Consider the following 22846-nt stretch of genomic DNA (forward strand, 5'->3'; position numbering starts at 1 on the left):
CAGAGTGAGACCTGGTCTCAAAAAAAAAAAAAAAAAAAAAAAAAAAAGAGAAGAAAAAAGAAAGGGACCTGGTGTCTGTATATCACTTACTTTTAACAGGTTACAAACACAAACAAAGAAAATAAGAACATTTTAAATTGTTGAATCTGGGTAAGGTAGATGAGTATTTGCTGTGATGTTCCTTCTGCTTTTCCATATAAGAATATAAAGTGATAGTTGTTACTCATCAAATTTATTTCATGACCATAATCCTGTTTGAAAAACAGTGTGTTATAATTAGAAAAAAGACAAGCCACTTGTCCCTGTGTTTGTTAATCATACTTAAGGAAGGCTCTAACATTCTGAAGAACGTTCTGTGGTTACTTCCTGGCCTATAAAGGATTTAATGTTCCATTGCTGAGTCTACTAATCTCTCCTTCAAAATCCTTTCTACAAAACTTCTGTGAATCATTACGACCTTAGCAGAAAGGTATAAGATTAGGGATTGGTTTTTTAGTTGCAGAGATCACAGACTCAGAACTTACCCTAAGACCTCGCATACTGAGAACAATCCTTGTGGTTTTCACAGGGCTTTAAAATAACTAAATCTAGGAACATCAAAAGTTTAAGACAGTGCGCTAAAGCTGAAAGTACCATAGCAAACATGTGCACTGGTTACATTTTCCCCTTCCTTTTCCTTTAAGAATAGGTTTTAATAAAAGACGAAGTTCCATGAACGGTCAGTAACATCTCATTTAATTGACACTAAGGGAAGTATTCTAGATGAGTGAATGAAACTTGTAGATAACTGAAACTCCAAGTCTTGCTAATTAGAGATTTCTAGATTTTCTTCTTTCTTTTAATTTCTTTTAGAGACAAGGTCTTGCTCTGTTGCCCAGGCTGGCTTCCAACTCCGGGGCTCCAGTGATCTTCCTCAGCATCCCAAGTAACCGAGGCTACAGGAGTGCACCATCATGCCCAGGTGGATTTCTAAATTTCCAAGATTGTTTTCCTGTTGACTATGGACATCCACATAATCAAGTTTGAATTGTGACACAGCAACAGTGACCTCAAGAAGACAACTGAACTAGATCACTCGGGGGACCTGGGATCCAATTAACCTTAGGTCCTCGTAAAGAAGCAAGGTGGCTGAACTCTGCAAACTCTAAGGGCCTTGCAGCTCTCATATGCAGCAGTTCTGTTACTATTAGGTCTGTAAGGCTGGCATCCTGCACGCAAAATGCCAATAGCCTTGTTCATAAAATTATTAGCACAGACCAACTGACACAAACTGAGTATTACTCTTTATAATGAATCTTATTTTTTATTTTTTTGAGACAGAGTCTTGCTCTGTCACCCAGGCTGGAGTGCAGTGGCGCAATCTCGGTTCACCGCAACCTCTGCCTCCCAGGCTCAAACAATTCTCATGCCTCAGCTTCCCGAGTACCTGGGATTACAGACGTGCACCACCACGCCTGGCTAATTTTTTTATTTTTAGTAGAGATGGGGTTTTGCCATCTTGTATTTTAGTACAGACGGGGTTTTGCCATCTTGGCCAGGGTGGTCTTGAACTCCTGGCCTCATGTGATCTGCCTGCCTTGGTCTCCCAAAATGCTGGTATTATGGGCATGAGCCATCCCTTTATAATGAATCTTATTTACCAAAATAAAATTTAATAAGCAACAAGTCGTTAAAAACCATATGCAACAAAAGGAATGAAAAATTGTTCAACACACAACCCAGACAAATCTCACGTGTGTAATACTTAATGAAAGAAGCCACACACAAAAATGTGATGGTGTATGATTAGCGTGCTGCGGAGGTGAGAAGAGTGGTTACCCTTTGCGGGGAAGTAGGGGTACGGAGAATGATTCACCAGTAGGTGGCACCAGGGAGCACTGGGGTGCTAACAACATTGATCCAGGTGGCAGTCACTCAGGACATACACATAGGTAAAAATTATCCAACTGTACATTTAAGATGTATACACTTTACTGTAAGTGAAACCTCAAAAAAGTAATAAGATGCAAAAAAACTTAGATAACAAAAATGCAGGAGCTGTCAAAACTATTATCTTTATAGTACCTGTAACATTACAAATGCACAATGAATAAATGTTAACATACAGTATTGCTCAATTCTAGCAAGAAAAAAAACCACTTAAATTTCATTAGCATGTCAACCTGTAATGCATTTTGTCAGCTCTTTAACATTTTTAAAGTTTCCCAAACTTTCATGACACTGTCTCATAAATATTTGTTTTTAGAATACTAAAGAGCCAATGAAAAAGAGCAGAAATCCACACGTGTACTACTAGCAAGGCATTAATATCTGTGGTTTAACTGAATACATCAGATTTAGACATAAAAATATGCAATTTAGAATTCTGCAAAATGCAGCAAAATCCTAATACCATGTTGATCCAGATTGCTAATGCCTTGTTTTATTACATAATAGTCATTTAGAAAGCCAATGTTTCTCAATGAGGCTGAATTTAACTAAAAGCACACAAAGTACAATTAGGGCTTGCTTACTTAGACCAAATTGTTTTTATGATAGCTAATGGAACTGATTAATTTAGGTTGCAAACCAAGCCCCCTAAAATACAGAATTGCTACTTGAAAATGTTTTTCTGGGCATCTTTTGTGAACTAAGTCCTGTGCTGAAAGAACTGGAGTCAGAGAAATATGATAAGCTCTGCCCTAAGAGGTCACTCTTGGGGCAGGGAGGCGTACAGAATTAAAAAATGTAACAAGGCCAGGCACAGTGGCTCACTCCTGTAATCCCAGCACTCTGGGGACCGAGGCAGGAGGATTACTTGAACCCAGCAGTTTGAGACCAGCTAGGGCACAATAGTGAGACCCCATCTCTACCAAAAAAAAAAAAAAAAAATGCTGCGTGTGGTAGTGTCTGTGGTCCCAGCTACTTGAGAGGCTGAGGTGGGAGGATTTCTTGAGCCTAAGAGGTCAAGTCTGCAGTGGGCCATGATTGTGCCATTGCACTTCAGCCTAAGTGACAGAGTGAGACTTCATCTCAAAAAAAAAAAAAAAAAAAAAGAAGTAATAAGTACTATAGGAACCAAGGGGAGGAAATAAGCAGGGGGCTTCAATGAGAAGCTTCTGAGAAGGTGATAATTGACTTAGAGGCAGCTCAAAAATCTGCTGAGAGCCTAGCAAGGAGCACATTGTATCTGCAGAAGGAAAAACTAGAATATGTATTTAGGAAACTAAAAGTTGGAGTGTCTAAAATTGAGAATGGCTAAATGGGTCATTCTAAATCAAGGCATGATTGAGGGCTGGGGTGAAAAAGAGGTGCATGGCAAGCATTCCTAAAGGGAGGCGGCACAAGGCTCAGAAGAACACCGACAACCTGCAACAGGCTCTGCAAACCATGCTAGGCTAGACACCTGACCATGCAGACAAGGGGAAGCCAGGAATTTTAAAGCAGGTGGTGTTTTTATAATCATGAAAATAAAATACGGAGACATAGAGAATTTGGAATATCAAAAAGAAAAGGAGGCTTATCTTAAATACAGATACTGTTTAGGTTCTTATTAATTTTTTAAAAATACAGCACTGTGACTATACTACACAGAGGGATTTTGGATTTAGTTCAGGTCACATAAGAATGGTTCATTCATGAATCTGTGTAATTGGTCATGACATGCGTATACACTTGTTGCATACCAACATTAAGTAAGCGTCTATCTGGGATGCTGGGATCATGTAATTTGGACTTTTCCTTTTTTTAAGCATCATTTGAAGCTAAGGATAGCTGAGTTCTTACCTAAAAGAACACTGTCCATCACATATGGAAAATCAGGCATTTTGCCTCATAAATACACAATTCATAATTTATTCCATCTCCACTCATCTCTCTTCTACAGGCTCAATACTATTCAAACTCCAATTATTATCACAGCCTTGGTACTTTCCATCGGGGGCTAGATAAAGAAGAGCAAAGTTTTCACCTACGATGAACAAAATGGCAGGACTTAAAGATGACTTTCCTGAAGAGTGCAATGCCTTCTGTCTTTTATTTATGGACTGAAAAGAGAAATCCCTCAATGTACACGGCAAATCACATTCCCCTCACTCTAAGCCATACTTACGGAAGACATCCCAGATTCTCCTGAATGCAGGAAAGTACCACGGTTACACCAATCTACTCCGTCAAACCAGGTACTAACTATGACTAAAATTATATGTGGAAAAAAAAAATCCAAATGAGATTAGTAACAGAAAACAAACAAACAAACAAAAAAACAAGTATGTGTGTAGGGGGGTGGATAGAAGGCAGTCTTGAAAGCGTCAATGCTAGACGCTTTTTTTCTCTTTACTGGGAATTGCAATCAACCAAACCATGGGTCTGTACCTGACCTAGAGCCTTTAACAATGCAACAAGACTGTGAGAACTCTCACTCAGGGACACCTGCTCTTAGCCTATTATGGAACTACTGCCTGTGTGCAGAAGTATCATTTGGAAACATGAATTTTATGCTCAAAGGGTAAAATGCCCAAGAGGCTTTACTCATGCCAAGTTCCCTAAGAACCATGGGGCTTCTTTTTGCCTTGGGAAAGGAGGTGAACTTTTTTCTTATTCTTTTTTTTTTTTTTTTGAGACAATCTCGCTCTGTCACCCAGGCTGGAGTGCAGTGGGGTGATCTCAGCTCACTGTAACCTCTGCCTCCCAGGTTCAAGTGATTCTCCTGTCTCAGCCTCCTGAGTATGTGGGACTACAGGTGTACACCACCATGCCTGGCTAATTTTTGTATTTTTAGTAGAGATGGGTATCGGGGGAACCAGCCCCAATATTTCAAAGTAGGTTCTATTTTCCCTAAGTGTCAGCCGGTCTGAGAAATAAAGAGAAAGAGTACAAAGAGAGGAATTTTACAGCTGGGCCTCTGGGGGTGACATCACATATTGGTAGGACCGTGATGACCCCGAGCTGCAAAACCAGCAAGTTTTTATTAGGGATTTTAAAAGGGGAGGGGGTGTACGAACAGGGCGTAGGTCACAAAGATCACATGCTTCAAAGGGCAATAAAGATCACAAGACAAAGGCAAAATTAGAATTACTGATGAGGGTCTATGTCCTGCTGTGCACGTACTGTCTTGATAAACATCTTAACAGGAAACAGGTGAGAGCAGAGAATTGGTCTGACCAAAATTTACCAGGCTGGAATTTCCCAATCCTAGTAAGCCTGAGGGTACTGCAGGAGACCAAGGTGTATTTCAGTCCTTATCTAAATTGCATAAGACAGACACTCCCAGAGTGGCCGTTTACAGACCTCCCCCCAGGAATGCATTCCTTCCGCACGGTATTCCTTGCTGGGAAAATAATTCAGCGATACCCTCTTACTTGCACATCCATTTATAGGCTCTCTGCAAGAAGAAAACTATGGCTCTATTCTGCCTGACCCCGCAGGCAGTCAGAACTTATGGTTATCTTCCCTTATTCCCTGAAAATCACTGTTATTCTGTTCTTTGTCAAGGTGCACTGATTTCATATTGTTCAAACACACGTTTTACAATCTATTGTACAATAGTGGTCCTGAGGTGACATACATTCTCAGCTTATGAAGATAACGGGATTAAGAGATTAAAGACAGGCATAAGAAATTACAAGAGTATTATTACAGAAGTGATAAATGTCCATGAAACCCTCACAATTTATGTTCAGAGATTGCAGTAAAGACAGGCATAAGAAATTATAAAAGTATTAATTTTGGGAACTTATAAATGTCCATGAAATCTTCACAATTTATGTTCTGCCCATGGTTCCAGGCGGTCTCTCCATTCGGGGTCCCTGACTTCCCGCAACAGATGGGGTTTCACCATGTTGGCCAGGCTGGTCTTGAACTGCTGACCTCAAGTGATCTTCCCACCTCAGCCTCCCAAAGTGCTGGGATTACAGGCATGAGCCACCGTGCCCAGCCTGAAAGAAGGTGAACTTAATTAGATGCCAAGGATTGCTAACTACATAACAGTATTTACAATGTGGTACCCTTGATTAATCTGACTCAGTCCACCTACCTTAATCAGCATTTCGAAATGTTAGGGGACCATCTGTTCATGAACTGAGAACATTATGAAGTCTCTCATTCAACTCAGGATATCACCCTGAACTTGATGAACTAAAATTTATTTGATTTCTATACTTTAATGACTCTGATGTCATTCATTGCTTTCAATGTTATGACTGATGTTTTAATAAGGCCATTGTAAATATACCATAAGTACCACAATCTCTGTGTCAGAGAAACACTTTGCTTGATTGCTTTTCTTCCTGGATAAACATGTAGTGAACAATCAGTGAATATATACTTCATATTATAGGATTGACTCAAAGAGTTCAATAATATCTAATCAGAGGCAAGGGTATGTTTATTAAGGGACACATCCTTCAAAGGAATCAAACTTTATATATAAACAGAGGTAAAGTGACAAGCGTAATTAGACAAGAATTAAAAGACAAACAGATTTGGGTAACATCATTTATTTTCCACTTATATAGCATCTTTCATTAAAAATGTCAATAAATCTTTCCAACTGTTCTTGTTCCCACCTAGGATATGATGATCTGAAAGTCTTACACATCTGTTCTGAATTTCACACTCCATAACTGACAGCTATTCAGTCTTTGGGACTCATCACTCAATCTCCCCTCTCCCTTGCCTCCCACATACTCTAACATCAGACCTTTTTGCTCCCTCCAACACCTGACACCTGCCTGGTCTAGGTCTGTTACACTGCACACCTGGACCATGCAGCAATCTAACTCCTCTCTCTCCAGGTTGATCCTCTCAGTGGTCACCACCGTAGACTGGCTACAGGATGAGGTTTAAACTCCTGAAGCCGGAAGCCAAAGTCCTCATTATCTTGACTCAAACCTGTCTCTGTCCAGATCCTGTACTCTCAGCCTCTTAGCTGGACCACATAGTTGGATCCAGGTGAACTCTGTCCAGCTCAAGCAGAGCATGCCAAGGTCATTTTACCTAACTCACTTCACCCTTTATTCAGGAGTGCCACATGTATGTAGACGTTACTGTGCCTTCCACCTCCACCATCTACTCTGCGCCTGTATGTGCACATCAGCATGACAGATGTTTGACACATTTTATTTCTAGTTCTCACCTCATTATACTAGTTATGTTTAGTGTATCAAACATATCAAGGAATTTGGGCCAGGCGCTGTGGCCCATACCTGTAATCCCAGCACTCTGGCTTGAGCCCAGGAGTTCGAGACCAGCCTGGACAACTAAGCAAGACGACCCCTGATGCCCTCCAGTCTCTACAAAAAATTTAAAAATTAGCTGGGTGTGGTGGCATGCACCTGTAGTCTCAGCTACACAGAAGGCTCAGGCAGGAAGATCCCTTGAGCCCAGGAGTTCGAGGTTGCAGTGAGCTATGATCACACCACTACACACCAGCCTGGGTGACAGAGTGAGACTGTTGTCTCCAAAATTAAAAAAAGAAAAAGAAAAAAGAAATCAAGGAATTTGACAAGGTCACAAACTAGGGAGTAGCAAGCCAGGGTTTGAACCCAGGTGTGATTCAACAGCCTGTGTTCTTTCTAAAACCTGGGGCATCCTCATCCCCAGCTCCCTATTTACCAAAACCCAGAGGTTCCTTCAGAGTCTGCTCAATTTCACCTCTCCCACACAGTCACTTCTGATCACCCCAAGTCCAGTAATCAGTGGTTACTCAGAACTTCTGCTGCTCTGACCTCATATTCTTAGCAACTTGATTTTTTGCAGCCCCAGAGCCTCATATTAACAGTCTCTTGAACACAGCAGGCACTCAACTATCTTACCTGAGTGATTTTGCTATTTTCATATTATTTTCTATGGGTAAAATTATGTATCAGGTAAGATAACTTCAGTAACTGAATAAAATCAGTTTCAATAATAAGGGCACATCTATGGTCTCCTAAACTAAGAACAGAGGGCAGGGCTAATTCAACGGCTTACAGATATCAAAGACCCAATCGCTCTCCATTTTTTCACTACACTATCCTCGGGCCATTTGCTTCTGCTCACATGGAGGCAAGAGAGCTACTGTAGTTCCAGAAATCACGTGTAGACAGTTTCTGGCTATAGATGAGGATACTTATCTTCTTTCATATTTTATTAGGAAGGAAAACATTTTCCAGAAGCTCCTCAGGGGTCCCTTTGGCCGGGGCTGAGTCCCATGTCCATGCCCTAGTTGCAAGGGAGGCTGGGGAGGCAGCAGATAACATTTTCGGCCTCCACTCCAGGAACAGGCTCTGCCAGCCAGGGAGAAAGGGAAGGAAAAGAGTGTTTGGAAAGGCACTCCACAGGGTTTGCAAACACCACCTCGAATGGATATTATGCAACGACCTACTCTGTATAAGGAAAACTCCCCCATCCAAATAGATTATCATTAGAAAGCCTTGCTAATCAGGTTACAAACAAATAATCCAGTTACCATAGAGTGTATTTGCACTGGAGGTAGAAGAAAGGGAATCGGAACCTTCTTTAGCCACCAAGTGTAAATACATTCCTTTTCCCCAGTGTTTTGGTTACATATCATAATCTCCTTCACCATCATGATCACCACAAGGAAAGAAGGGCTAGGAAGAAAAAACCATCTAGCCCTTTTGGGCTTCCATATAGTTCTGAAAACACCTTAAGGCAGGCAAAAAAAAAAAAAATTTTTTTTTCAAGAGATATAAAGAACAGAAATGGAGATGAAAATATTTACAAGTCTTCTGCCTCTTTCTCTGATTCTTCTATGCTGCTTCTAAAAAAATGATAGTCTGCCACCCCTACCACCACCACCACCACCAACCACCCCATCTGCTGCCAATTCTGCAAACAGCATAGACATCCATCAATAGAGAACCTCTTTTTAAAATTCTAGTACAATGGGAAATGATGCAGCCACTAAAATGGAAACGGATCTGAATGGGCTACCATGGGAAGCTATTCAATCTAAACTGTTAAGAGAGAAAAGCAAGACGCAGGGCTATGCCTACTGTGCACGCTCATCTGTGCTTAAACGAGGGGTGGAGGGATTTATGATAGATATGTACAATTGTATACTCTATGTGTATGAACATTTCTAGAAGCTGTCTTAAGAACTGTGGATGGTAGTTACCTCTGGGGAATAGGACTGGGAATCTGCAGACACAGATACTTTTTGTTTTATATTATCTTTTTGAGAGAGTAATTCATCTTATTTTCATATTAAAAAAAAATCCCCAGTGCCTGAATTTCAAAGTGAGACTAATATGCAAATACCTGCAAAATTTCATTAGCACACTTAAGATACTTCCTTGTCTCCTCCAGTGACCTATGATTTTACTAACAGTAGCAAAATAAATAATCTATAGGATAGTAGGCATTTTTGTAACTCATCCTAACTGAATTTTGTTTATGTAATTACTTTTAGAAAAGTAACTCCCTACTGAAAAGAGAAATTTTAAATCCCATTTCCCAAGGAAATAAAACCATGGCTTAAAAGGTAGTTCTAAAACAAATTTTATGGGACTAAGCTGGAATTGCCAAGTCATAAATATAAGTTTTCAAGTAAAAGTCCCATTAAAATATTGAATACTAATGTTACATCTTTCTTAAATAACTTCATAAAATGCTGTCTTTTTAAGGGACCAATGCCACTGAAATATTTCTACTGAGAACTGGGTTGCCCAAGGCTCACAGCTTTGAATCTGTATTTCATGGGCAATGATGTTTTCCATAAAGACTCTTCACTGAGAATACTCATACAAGCAGACCATGGCAGTGTATGATAGGCGTATATATACAGTTGTCCCTTGGAATCCATGGGGGATTGGTTCTAGGACCTCCTGCAGATACCAAAATCTGCGAGTGTTCAAGTCCCTGATATAAAATGGTGTAGTATTTGCATATAATCTACATACATCCTCCTGTATACTTTAAATCATCTCCAGATTACTTATAATACCTAATACAATGTAAATGCTTGTAAATAGTTGTATTTTTTAGGGAATAATGACAAAAAAAAAAACACTCGGTACCTGTTCAGTACAGATGCAATTTTTCTTCCTAAATATTTTTGACCCCTGGTTGGTTGAATCCATGAATGTGAAATCCGTGGATGTGGAGGGCCAACTGTATATCCATTCATGGCAACTGAAGGGTCACAGAGTTCATCTAGAGACTGTTTACATATAGTTCATGTGATTCCTGAGGCTAGACTGTTTTACCTGTGATTCTCAGGTTTGGTGTTTTTGTTTGTTTTTTGAGACAGTGTCTTGCTCTATCAACCAGACTGGAGTGCAGTGGTGCAATCACAGCTCACTGCAGCCTTGATCTCCTGGGCTCAACTGATCCCCCTACTTCAGCCTCCTGAGTATCTGGGACTACAGGTGCACACCATCATGCTCGGCTAATTTTTGTATTTTTTTGTAGAGACGAGGTTTCACCATGTTGACCAGGCTGGTCTCGAACTCCTGGGTTTCAAGCAATCCGCCTGCCTTGGCCTCCTAAAGCTGGGATTACAGGCATGAGCCAGCGTGCCCAAATGGTTCTCAAGTTTATTTTATTTATTTTTTTTGAGATGGAGTCTCGCTCTGTCACCAGGCTGGAGTGCAGTGGTGCGATCTCGGCTCACTGCAATCTCCGCCTCCCGAGTCCAAGTGATTCTCCTGCCTCAGCCTCCCGAGTAGCTGAGACTACAGGTGCCCGCCACTACACTCGGCTAATTTTTTGTATTTTTGGTAGAGACGAGGTTTCACCATGTTGGCCAGGCTGGTCACGATCTCTTGACCTTGTGATCCACCCGCCTCGGCCCCCAAAGTGCTGGGATTACAGGCGTGAGCCACCGCACCTGGCCTCAAGTTTTAAAGTTTGGTTTTGTCCTTCAAAAATTGTTTCTACAGCTACAACTACAAAAAAGGAATAATGTTATCTCCTTAAGGTTAAAGTCAGTTTCTCAGAAGACAAAGCAAGACAGAATTACTTGCACTTTTAAAATTTTTTCAGTGGTTCTAGGATTCATTTTAAAATGAAGCAATGCTAAAAGCAGACTGCAAGGTATATTTGCAGTGTTTGATTTTAACTGATTCTTAAAACATTAAAAACTGTTTGGCATTTGAGCATGTGCATCCCCTAGAGACCCAGAAATTCCATTTGTAGGTTAGAGGAGCAAGTGCCCCTGTTAGGAGCACATTGAAAATATACACAGCAGCATCACTTGCAAAAGAAAAACAATAAAAGCAATAACAAAAGACAACCCACAAATAATCCAAAGCCTATGGGCAATAAAATGGAGAGATATATATACACGCACATTGGAGATATATATATATATACACACAATAAAATGGATACACACACACACACACACACACATTGTGTTTATTTGTACAGTGGAATGAAATAAACCAGAACTACAAGAATTAAAATGGGCCAGGCACAATGGCTCCCACCTGTAATCCCAGCACTTTGGGAGGCCGAGGCTGGTGGATCACATAAGCCCAGAGTTCGAGATCAACATGGGTAACATGATGAAATGCTGTCTCTACCAATAATAATAATAATAATAATTAGCCAGGCATGGTGGCACACACGTCTGTAGTTGCAGCTATTTGGAAAGCTGAGGCAAGAGGATGAGCCTGGGAGGTTGAAGCTGCAGTGAGCCAAGATCACGCCACTGCACTCCAGCCTGGGTGACAGAGCGAGACCCCGTCTCAAAAAGAATAAAATGATTAAATCTTAAAAGAAGCAAATCAAAGAACACATACTTTATGAATTCTACTTTATAAAGGTCAAACGCAGGCAAACTCTTTTTTAGGTATGAACACACATGTGATAAAAAGAGAAAAATCTTGAGAATAGTTAAACCTTATGGCAGCGATGACCTCTTGGGGGTGGGAAGGCTTGTGATGTAGGGATGCTCAATCAGGGAAGGTCACAGGGTCAAGTTCATCTCCTCACCCTGGGTATAACGTACAGGGGTGTTTCATGTATTTTTTAATGGAATATCTTCTTTGTATGATATTAGTTTACAAACATTTTAAAATAAAAACTATGGAGTAGGCCGGACGCAGTGGCTCATACCTGTAATCCTAGCACTTCAAGAGGCCGAGATGGGCGGATCACAAGGTCAGGAGATCGAGACCATCCTGGCTGACACGGTGAAACCCCATCTCTACTAAAAATACAAAAAAATTAGCCGGGCATGGTGGTGGGTGCCTGTGGTCCCAGCTACTCGGGAGGCTGAGGCAGGAGAATGGCGTGAACCTGGGAGGCGGAGCTTGTAGTGAGCCGAGGTTGCACCACTGCACTCCAGCCTGGGCGACAGAGTGAGACTCCATCTCCAGAAAAAAAAAAAAAAAAAAACTATGGAGTAAATTACACAGTAAAATAAAATGTGTGTGTGTGTTTGCTTAAGCTGTAGAATGAATGTCTTCTGTCAATCCTATTGCTTTATCTCTGGCTCTATACTTAACTCGTTGGGTAATAATGTTAAAATCTAAATTTGAGACCCTACTTAAATTGTGACCTGGTCTCAAAGGTCCTCGGGTCACCACTGCAATGATCTTCTTGGATCATTATCCTCACTGGTTACACACAGGAATGTGAAGCATGCAGTCAGGAGAAAGCCCTGTAATTGCCCCCAGGCCACAAGTAATCCCCCTGGAAGCAAAAACAACCTCCTCTCCATAAACTGACTAGAAAGGAACAGGTGGGAAGGACAGCAGAGGGGTGGCCAGCATTGTCAGGGTTTCTCCAGAATGGCCTGTCAACCAGGACAAGCCCTGTTCCCACATCTTTTTGAACAGCCTGGCACAGAAAGCAGCTCTGACTGTTTTACAAGCAGCACTCTTGCAGTTTGGGGAGCCATTTTCCCTTTTATTCCAATTGAAACTGTGTGCATCAAGCTCTGTCAACTGTTGCACTCACAGTGTTACGAGGCTATTGCATGATATGCTGTCGGAACAACTGGCCTCTCTGACTTTTTTCTTTTTTTAAACAACAGACAGATTTTTTTTTTTTTTTTTGGTTTGAGACAGAGTCTCACTCTGTCACCCAGGCTCGTGTGCAGTGGCGCGATCTCAGCTCACTGCAACCTCCACCTTCTGGGTTCAAGTAATTCTACCTCAGCCTCCCGAGTAGCTGGGATTACAGACGCTGCTACCACTCCCAGCTAATTTTTGTATTTTAAACAACAGAAATGTAACCTCCAAGACCCAAATGATCAAATGACAAGCAGCAAACTTTTCCAACTTTCCCTCCTCTCCCACCCCCAGGTGTTTTGGTTTCTGAAGACTGGGGATCACTATCAACAATGGGCAAACCTTTGCTACAGAACTGATTAGGACAAAACCACCTGAATTAATAAATGTGTGCAAATATTTTAATGTTCAGGGAAGGAAAGAAAGATTGCATTTTGTGTCAATATAGAGAAGTCTTCTATGACAAAGAGCCACAAGTGAACACAGATTTCCTGTGAGATCAAAGGCTCCCCCAGGCAGAAATCACATGAACCTGAGCCTTCACCACCCTATGGGGAATGAATCCCACACTATGGGGTGTCCAAGCATGGTCCGAGGAGGCCCAGTTCAGACGCACTCTCCATTTCCCCCATGGCTGCTTCCTCTCCCACAGCTCGAGGCAGCCACCACACCCTTCTTCCCCAACGTGGGCTGGGCAGCATCACACAAAGTCAGTTTTACAGAGTTTCAAGTTTCCAGGCAAAGGCAGGATGACTCAAAGATGCCCACTTGTCGAAAGACTAGATATTAAAGTACAAAGTTAGATTCCAACTCAGAGCCTGGTTAGACCCGGGGTTACTTTCGAACTCCCAGGGAGGTGGGAGGAGACCTGGCTCTTCTCCAGCCAGTAGCTGGCACAATCCAACCCAGATATTTGTCCATCTGTTAAATCACTCACACTGGACTGACATTTTTAAAAGGACATAACAATAAGGAGACTGGTGGTTCATTAGGCGTTTAGGCAGTTTAAGTATCTAGAAACCAACTGAGAAATTAGGGAGGGATTTGGGCAAGCACAAAGATAACTATTAAGAGCACAAAGACAAATTGCATTTCTTTCTGGCATCTCCCAGGATATTAAAGACCACAAAGCTCCACAATACATATTTACACACTCTGGCTGAAACGGAAGAGTTGTGAAGAGACTTACCAAGGGCCACACAGCAAACCCAGGAGCAGAGCAGGATCGGCAGCTAGCTCACCCTCCTGCCCGAGGCATTTGAATCTGCAAGGCAGGCAGGCTAGATATTCCAAACAGCACCTACCATATGACTCAGCCTGGACTTTGGAGATACTGCTCACATTATCTCGGGGTATTCCTGTGTTTGTCTCAGAGAAACTCCACGCCCTGCACTGTACCCAATACAAATGTCAGTAATAATGCACCGTATTCAACACATTGCTGTACAAATGGGCTCTTTGTGCAGTCAGCAGAAGAGATCCACATTCTATATCTTTGCAGGGAGGTCGACTAGAAGGGCGCCTGCTATCAATCACCCCGACTCTGGGATTGCAAGAGGACATTCAGTCTGGTACTCTCTCTTTACCAATAAGGAAATGGGCTCGGCTCAACAAACCTTGTTAGGCAGAGCAAATGCCAGCAGTGGACTGGGCACAGTAAACACCAATGTGATGAAGGCAGAGCAAAGGGGCCAGCCAGCACCAAGGGAAGGGAAGTGGCTTAAAGACAGTGAGCAGTCAGGAGACTCTCTGTTGATTCATTCATGAGACAGACACTTGCTGGGTGCCTCCTAGTGTCAGGCGCAGCGAGGCGTGCTGGGGAGGCAAAGGGGCATAGCCGCCTCCTGGCGTAGTGGCCGGGGGAGAGACACAATGACAGCCACTGATAAGTGTCAGGAGAGTACTTGGTGCTAAGCGAGCACTTGGAAGGAGCTGCTAAGGGGGAGATAAGAGGAAAGGGGGAGGGGAAAAAGTCAATGGAAAGCAGAAAGGCTTGTCAGAAGGTGAATCAGTTAGACAGAGAAGTAAAGATTTGGAGGACTTGGTGCAGTTGAAGACTGGGACAGCAGATGGGTCACACCCGGAGGGTCCCACTTAACTCATACAGAGGTGTTTGGGGTTCATCCTGTAGGTCCCTTGGCAGCCGCATAGAGGATTAGGATGATCACATCCTGTTTTAAACAAGTCCTTCTGAGAAAGCAAGATGGAAAATGCATTTCCATGGAGCCAACTGGAGCCTGGAGCCTGCTGCAGCAATCTATGGCAAGAGCTGGTGAAGGCTGGATGTAGGGTGGTCGTGAGAGGTCTATGAAGGAGGTGGAATGAGAGGACTTGCCACCACCTGGATGTGGGGGTGAAGGGACGAGTCAAGGAAAACCCCACTTCTGTTTCATTCCTTCTGGTAGCTAAGCTTATTCACAAGATAGGCAAGAGGAATTTTCAGCCTCAGACATGATAAACTTAAGGTTCCTATGGGACCTTCAAACACAGACGTCCTGATGAACAGAGAGAGAAAGGGACAGAGGAAACAGCACTGGAGCCCATTGGTGACAGCGCCTTAGGCAACTCTCTGAGGAGACAAGCATAGACAACCAGACCTAATCAAATCCCAGCTTCTGCCTCTTAGCAGCTATACGACCTGGGGCAAGTAAATTAACCTTTTTGGGACTCTGGTCTCACCTAAGGAAATTCCTTTTGGGATTTAATGAAATCAGAAAAGGACATGATGTCATGGCAAACAGAAGAGATTTAATATTTTCCTCTTGCCCTTTTGTGATCATATACTGCTTTGTATTATAATTGAGTACTTAACCTTTGCAGCAGATTATAAGTTTTCTTGCTGTCACTCATCTTTAAATCCCTTTTGACCATATTTGTAGGCACAGATTCTCAAATATTTGAATTGCCACAAGTCATATGAAAAACTAAGGCCAGACTGTTCTGGGGGACCAGGGGTTTCCTGCTTTTGACATTAAATAACAAATGCAAAGATCTCAAAATTGCTATGTGGCTTAAGTGGTGTTGATTTAACTCTGTGTTGGGGGTGGGATGGAGAGAAAAGGGCAGTGGGGTTTGGAAAAGAGGGAGAATTTTGTCAGCCTAATAAAGGCTAGTCAAAGCCTACTCTGTGAAAACTCTACTGTAATATTTAAGAGGAAGAGTGTCTATCAAAGTTAATATTGCATAGCCTCTATCCTCTGGCTCAGTTCAAGTAAAGGTCTTAAGTCATGTTAAATAATGAATTCCAGCAAATGGATCTTGCCTTAAACCAAATGTTAAGTCAATAGTACACTCCGTATATGAGACGTATATACTTTCTTTGCTAGGTCATTTTGCTAATTCTAACTCTTAAAATGAATATTTTAAAACTACAATAAGATTTTTAAAACCAGACTGACCAGTAAGGCATACATAATTCAGTTCCACAGAGCTAAGCTTGTTCATTTTTCTTCAGCGTTTGCCTTTAAATTTGGGATCTAACTTGTCTTTACCTATTTTTACGGCTGCCTTCCTAGTCTGAAAATATCTTGGTCACTAGATATTTTGTTTCATCTCCAGCTTAGCTCCTAAAATACATTCAGGATCACTTCTTCCTTCCCCCTTCTTCCCTGGTAGCTTCATATATTCCCATCCATTCACCCATAGCCCAGTTCAGTATACCTACCTCACATTCTGTGTCTCAGTCACAAATATCTTTTTTAAAAACCTGCCCAAGTTTCTAATACAGAATGATGTGGCAACTGCCTCAAAGCTCACTGTTTGGCTCATTTAATCATTTGGATTAAACGTAGACAATGATCCAATTCAGAGCTAATGGTCTTTAGGACTACTCTTATTCCTGGCTGTCTTCAACCTGGGCACATGTGACATGCCTCAAGCATGACCAGTTTGAGAGGACACTTTGGTCCCCAAGGGCCGAGGAAGAACAAGTTCCTCCTCGCTCACATATGTAGTCTGAACCTGAGGTTCTTGATTCTCTAGGATGTTTCTGAACTCTGGGTGGTTCCCATTAAACACACAATACACATCTCCATCCTTCTTAGCCAACCTCTAAGATTTTGACACCCCACTGACATATAGAACCAAGATACCTTCCAGTTCTTCTCTGCCTTGAATAGACTTGAACTTCCCAGCTGTGAATAGACTCAACTTTTTGTCGTGTCTACAAGATGCTCTCCTACCCCACTGCCAATAGGGGGAAAAATGAAAGCAGACAGATGGCCACATTAGATGGAATCTGCCATTGAGGTGGCAACTTCCCCATGGCACCCAGCCCGTGGTCTACTTGAGTTATTCCTCAGACACTGACGAGAGGTGCAGAGTCTCAGGGAGAGACTACTGAGACGTAATCCTTTCCCTTTAAACATGACTTTGACATATGCATTACACACACTTACACACGTCTGACTCCACCATGACTCACACTGGAGGTGGTGTTTAAAATGAACAGCATCTCCGTGCTATTATGATGCTTCACTCAAAATTGCTTTACGGCTTCTACTACAGGAGCAGGTCACATCCAGGAAATGGTTTGCCTGATCTAGAGCAGGATTTTCTCACTATTACCTTATGCCCCAGGGCTGCCTTACTTTCTTCAAAACCCAGATCAGGACCTGCAACCTATGACCCAAAGCACTCTCCTTGTAAATTCAGGATTCCCTACTAAGCCAGTCCCTAGCTTTTTCTCTCTCTGAACTCTTTAAACACCTTTTACATTCTCCTCTTTCTCATAGCTCATGTCATTCCTCCAGGCAGAGGCCCCTGAGTTTCCTGTGGTTAGTAGACATGGATAGCTGCCTGCTGCATCAGACTCAGCTGAGCCCAGGAATCCTTCTGAAAATAAAAGATTTATCCTACAAATTGGTGCAACCTTTGGGAGGACAATGTGTTTGCCTCTATTCTCATTTAAAAGGCACATGCCCTTTGACCTAACAGTTTTGCTTTTGGAAATTTATCTAAATATGGTTATAGAGAAAAATGTACACAAGTTTTCAATACAGTATTACAAAGCAAAAGAAACATGAAAAAACATCATCCTGGGAGGAACTTAAATCGCATATCAATAGGCGACTGGTTAAATAAATAATAGATATGTATATTTTGTGTCAAGACTATTTCTGTAAAGACACATAAGAAACATAACATTGCAGCCAGGCGCAGTAGCTCACGCCTATAGTCCCAACACTTCAGGAGGCCGAGGCAGGTGGATAACCTGAGGTCGGGAGTTCGAGACCAGCTTGACCAACATGGAGAAACCCTGTCTCTACTAAAAATGCAAAATTAGCTGGGCGTGGTGGCGGGTGCATGTAATCACAGCTACTGGGGAGGCTGAGGCAGAAGAATCGCTTGAACCCGGAAGGCGGAGGTTGCGGCGAGCCAAGATAGTGCCATTGCACTCCAGCCTGGGCAACAAAAGCGAGACTGTCTCAAGAAAAAAAAAGAAACATAACATTATTATCATTGCTATCTCTGGGGAAAAGGACAAGAAGCTGGAAAAAGACACTTTAATTTTGCTTTAAGCCCTTTAGTACTGTGGAAATTTTTTTTTTTTAATAATTATTATTTTTTTTTTGAGACAGAGTCTTGCTCTGTCGCCCAGGCTGGAGTGTAATGGCGCGATCTCGGCTCACTGCAACCTTCGCCTCCCAAGTTTAAGCGGTTCTCCTGCCTCAGCCTCCCGAGTAGCTGGGATCACAGGAGCCCACCACCATGCCCAGCTAATTTTTGTATTTTTAGTAGAGACAGGGTTTCACCATGTTGGCCAGGCTAGTCTTGAACTCCTGACCTCAGGTGATCCATCTGCCTCGGCCTCCCAAAGTGCTGGGATTACAGGCATGAGCTACTGTGCAGGGCCTGTGGAATTTTTTTTTTTTCAAATGAATTCACACTTAAGCTACTTAATAGAAAAAAATGTGAACCTTTATCATTTAGAGCTACTAAACACTTCATTAAACAATATCACTTAATCTTTGCTAAACACGAACTAGAAAAACTAGGCACAAATAGAAACTGTATAGACCAGATATACATTAGAATGGGTCTGCTTTAGCAGTTAATGGTTTAATCATTAACCAGGTCAGGGTATTTTTCTCTAAGGCACTTTATGTGTTGCTGACTCTTCTACAATCTAAGTGGCTCAATGTAAACCATTCCCCTTGTGCTAAACATGCGTGTTTATACTTAAAGTCGATTTCACTGAGGAAATTAGGGTAGGGTCAGTTTGTAAGGTTTTGCCCTAAACCTTAAAAAGAACACAAAATCCTTCAGGTCTTAAGCAAGATTGATGCCCAGGCCCTATGAAGGACACATTGAATCTTCTGTATATTTTTTAACAAGCTCCACAGGTAATTTGGATGTGGCTGGCATTGCCTCGTGCACACCTAAAGTAACCATGCTTAGAAAACGCTGTGTTATCCAAAAGAAACACAGCACAGAGAATTCTATGAACAAACTATTGCAGTACTCTAAGATTTTAAAATAAGTAACTTTCTCAAACACTGATATGGGGTTTAGAGTTAACACTGCGGGTAAGCAAACCCACCAGGCTCTCTCAGTTGACACAGCTCTTCTGGCTCCTTCGAGGAAGTGAGGACCAGTATGTGGAAGAGCCTTTGGGGCTGGTGTTTCTCAAGCTACAGCTTCAGGCAATCTCAGGGACAGAACCTGGACTGTGCATCTGACAGCCGCCTTTCTACCTCCCACCTCCACCCCATTCTTATGTCCAAGTAGTTTGAAACTATTGAGCTAGATCAGTATATCCCGAACACCAAATTGTTAAGAGTGGATGGAGCCCCAGTGATCTTTCCCACTCCCCAGACCAGTGAATCAGGAAATCTCTACTGGAGGTTCTGCAGTACCCCAGGTTCTTTATCTAAACAGGAAAGTTAGGAAACACCAATTTAGGTCAAACTCATTTTAAGATAAGGAAATCAAGGCCCAAGAAGTTTAAGTGATTTCACCAAGGACTTATAGCTGATTAATGATAGCTGGGAGCTGTGAAACCTGGTGAGCTAATTCTTCCCTCTTAGACCAATACTGCTTGTTATATTATGTGTAATCATGAGAGCCCCAGTATCTGTGCAGTTTCTGATTCACCAGGAAGAGGCCCCAAGTGATTAATAAAGCCTGAACCCAGGGGCATGTCAGAACGCACCACTGGTTTAAAGGATGACTGACATGGTAAAGTGTCCAACGTCAACCTGCCCTCGGAATTCTTTCACTTTCAGTATCAGTAGGAGAAATATACAATTGTACATTTCATAGAAAAGTAAACCCAGCCCCACACAGTTAACAACCAGGTGAAGCGGGAACACAGGACAATTCAAAGTTTTCGGATCACACCATTTCTTGGTCAAATATTAGTACCTTCAGCAAAAGACCTCTAATTACCACACACTTTTGGTTATGGCAACAGCCTGCTCCTTACTTTTGGGAGAGAGGAGTACTCCACACCCATGGCCTGAAACCAGGATCTCCAAACCCATCAAAGAGAAACATGGATGGGAAACCAAACCCCCCAAGCTTGGAAAGCATCCAGCAAGCTTTAATTCAGGGAGAGTTCAATCGAGATATAATTGCCTCTAATTGGCCCTCCCACACGATCTCACAACATACAGCTATAATCAGTTCCACAAAGAATATGTTATATTTCTTTTCTCCCTTGAAAAGCCAGAATCCTCTCTTGTTAGGTACTTACCATCACTGTTTTGATTTTTGTAAATATACCGAGACATTAAAAAAGGAAGAATGAATGGGTAAAAGCAAAGAAGTAGATGGATTTCTTTTTTAAAATAAGCACTGATCCCTATGACCTTAATGATAACCCAGTGCGATTCAAATCTGTAATGGAGACTGATGTCGACTCAGGAAACCTTTCTAGTCCAGGGCACATGTGATCCAAAAAACACATTCATCTGGTCGGACATTTTCCATACTCTGATTTTTATCTTTCTTGGCATGCTCAACTCTCCTTTAATAAAGTCACAACCCTTTGTTGCCATGGAACCCAATCAGACACGGAGCCTGTTACTATGACTTCCCTGCAGATATAAAAAAAGACCCAGTGACCAAAAGACCAGCTCTTTCTTAAAAAAAAAAAAAAAATTACAAGGCAAAGAGGCTCCAAAAAAACCTCAACACTTCTGTATTTACTGAAGTTTAATCTTTTATGTAGGCTCACCTGAACTCTTCAGCCAAAGCTAGCTCATGTTTCAGCTGGAACTTTCCAAAGAAAATGATTTTACAAATAAATACCTAGGCAAAGAAGGTAAAAAATATTCTTGGGATATCTTACTTTTCTTCTTCTTCTAGGCAAGCTTTCTGAAATTTGAGTAGCTGTTTAGCAAACATGTGTCAATCAGCAGCTGCCAAATTGCAATATTCATTTCCATCAATACTTAATGTTGCCAAGAGCTCATTATTTCTCTGAAAAGAAAAGATATTCTAAACAATACAATCAATCCTGTGTTCTGGACCTGGACTAAATCTGCAGGAAAAAAAAAAAAAATCTGAGACTAAGCAGAGTGGACTGAGCAGAGCTACTTAAGGGAAGAGAATTAACATTTGTTGAGTGCCTACCATGAGCTGGGCACTTTTACGTCATCACGTCAGGACCCTGTAACTGAGGCAATGCCACCTCTGTTTGGCAGATGAGGGACCAAGGCTCAGAAAGCTTAAGTACTTAAGCAGCTTGTTCAAGCTACCAGGCTAGAATGCTGCCTGGCTCCCAAAGCCAGAGCTATTCCTTCATTCAACCAGCACTTATTTCTGCTCTCACAGGTGTTGTACATTTTGTTATGCTTCTTATTCTTCAGGAGCGAATTCACAGCCTGTAAAGCTTGGCTGTAAAGAGAGCACGGTGTCCATCTTTACCGGCACAGGGGCCAGTCTGGCTACACCCACGTACAACTACCACCACGTCTATACAACACCAGCTACCCCTTGGGGGAATCCCGAATAAATGCCCTGGCTACTTGCCTAAGGAAACACGTGTGGGCTAGGCACCCATTACACCCTTCCAGAGGTTGGGCCACGGCCCAGAGCCTTCCAACCCTGGACCTCATGGTGGGGAGGACCAGGAAGCTCTGGGTGGCCTTTTCATGTGCAGTACCATCGGCAAAGTAAAAGTCAAGCCATGCAAACCACAACAGTTTCTCCAACCTGGTTTTGGACAACCAGCTTCAAGAAATGACTAGTAAGAAGGAATGTGGCAAGCCACAAAAGTTATAATTTATATTATTAATTATACCAGCCTCTCAGCTAAAGAAAATTTACCTATTTCATGTACAAAGATTATAACAACTGCTTTCATTAAAAGAAATTTTTAAAATCACCCAAAACTGCAATACGATACCACTTCATACTTACTAGGATGGCTGTAATTAAAAGACAGATAATAATAAGCACTGGTGAGGATGTGGAGAAATCAGAACCCTCATACACTGGTAGTGGGAATATAAACTGGTGCAACCACTTTGGAAAACACTCTGGCAGTTCCTCCAAAGGTTAAACAGAATTACCATATGACCCAGCAACACTCCTTCTAGGTATGTACCCAAGAGAAATAAAAACATATACCCCCACAAAAACTTACACAGAAGTGTTCATAGCAACATTATTCTTCATAGCCAAAAAGTGAAAACAACCCAAATGTCCACCAAATGTCACATATCCATACAATGAAATATTATTCAGCCATGGCCAGGCATGGTGGCTCATGCCTGTAATCCCAGCACTTTGGGAGGCTGAGGCAGGTGGATCGTCTGAGCTCAGGAGTTTGAGACCACCCTGGGAAACATGGTGAAAACCCGTCTCCACTAAAAAACGAAAAAATTAGCCAGGCGTGGTGGCGTACGCCTGTAGTCCCAGCTACTCAGGAGGCTGAGGCACGAGAATCACTTGAG

The 22846-nt window shown here is 42.1% G+C and overlaps 1 protein-coding gene across 2 annotated transcripts in view, besides 6 other annotated features; it reads right to left on the reverse strand.

The window, feature by feature from the left end:
- TMCC3 (transmembrane and coiled-coil domain family 3) overlaps positions 1–22846 on the reverse strand; it is an 83436-nt gene that overhangs the window by 34668 nt on the left and 25922 nt on the right. Inside the window, exon 1 of one of the 2 annotated variants that reach the window (NM_001301036.2) lies at positions 14134–14212. The exons of the other annotated variant lie outside the window; for it this stretch is intronic. The gene's annotated coding sequence lies outside the window, so the exon portion shown is untranslated. Of the gene's footprint in view, positions 1–14133; positions 14213–22846 lie in introns of those variants that run through there. 2 annotated transcript variants of the gene reach the window in all.
- Positions 12127–12357: a silencer, noted in NCBI's record as "fragment chr12:95007692-95007922 (GRCh37/hg19 assembly coordinates)". NCBI's record gives its function as "represses an EF-1alpha promoter that drives an FKBP-Casp9 reporter gene in an ReSE screen in K562 erythroleukemia cells {active_cell/tissue: K562}" and the evidence as "EXISTENCE:reporter gene assay evidence [ECO:0000049][PMID:32094911]".
- Positions 12127–12875: a biological region, named in NCBI's record as "NANOG-H3K27ac-H3K4me1 hESC enhancer GRCh37_chr12:95007851-95008440".
- Positions 12286–12875: an enhancer, noted in NCBI's record as "NANOG-H3K27ac-H3K4me1 hESC enhancer chr12:95007851-95008440 (GRCh37/hg19 assembly coordinates)". NCBI's record gives its function as "activates a minimal SCP1, AML or CMV promoter by ChIP-STARR-seq in naive H9 embryonic stem cells {active_cell/tissue: H9 hESC(naive)}" and the evidence as "EXISTENCE:reporter gene assay evidence [ECO:0000049][PMID:30033119]".
- Positions 14950–15449: an enhancer, noted in NCBI's record as "H3K4me1 hESC enhancer chr12:95010515-95011014 (GRCh37/hg19 assembly coordinates)". NCBI's record gives its function as "activates a minimal SCP1, AML or CMV promoter by ChIP-STARR-seq in naive H9 embryonic stem cells {active_cell/tissue: H9 hESC(naive)}" and the evidence as "EXISTENCE:reporter gene assay evidence [ECO:0000049][PMID:30033119]".
- Positions 19474–19593: an enhancer, noted in NCBI's record as "active region_6788". NCBI's record gives its function as "activates an Ori minimal core promoter by ATAC-STARR-seq in GM12878 lymphoblastoid cells {active_cell/tissue: GM12878}" and the evidence as "EXISTENCE:reporter gene assay evidence [ECO:0000049][PMID:35858748]".
- Positions 19934–20253: an enhancer, noted in NCBI's record as "active region_6789". NCBI's record gives its function as "activates an Ori minimal core promoter by ATAC-STARR-seq in GM12878 lymphoblastoid cells {active_cell/tissue: GM12878}" and the evidence as "EXISTENCE:reporter gene assay evidence [ECO:0000049][PMID:35858748]".

Source organism: Homo sapiens, chromosome 12 (genome assembly GCF_000001405.40).
Source record: "Homo sapiens chromosome 12, GRCh38.p14 Primary Assembly".
Lineage (NCBI taxonomy): Eukaryota > Metazoa > Chordata > Mammalia > Primates > Hominidae > Homo > Homo sapiens.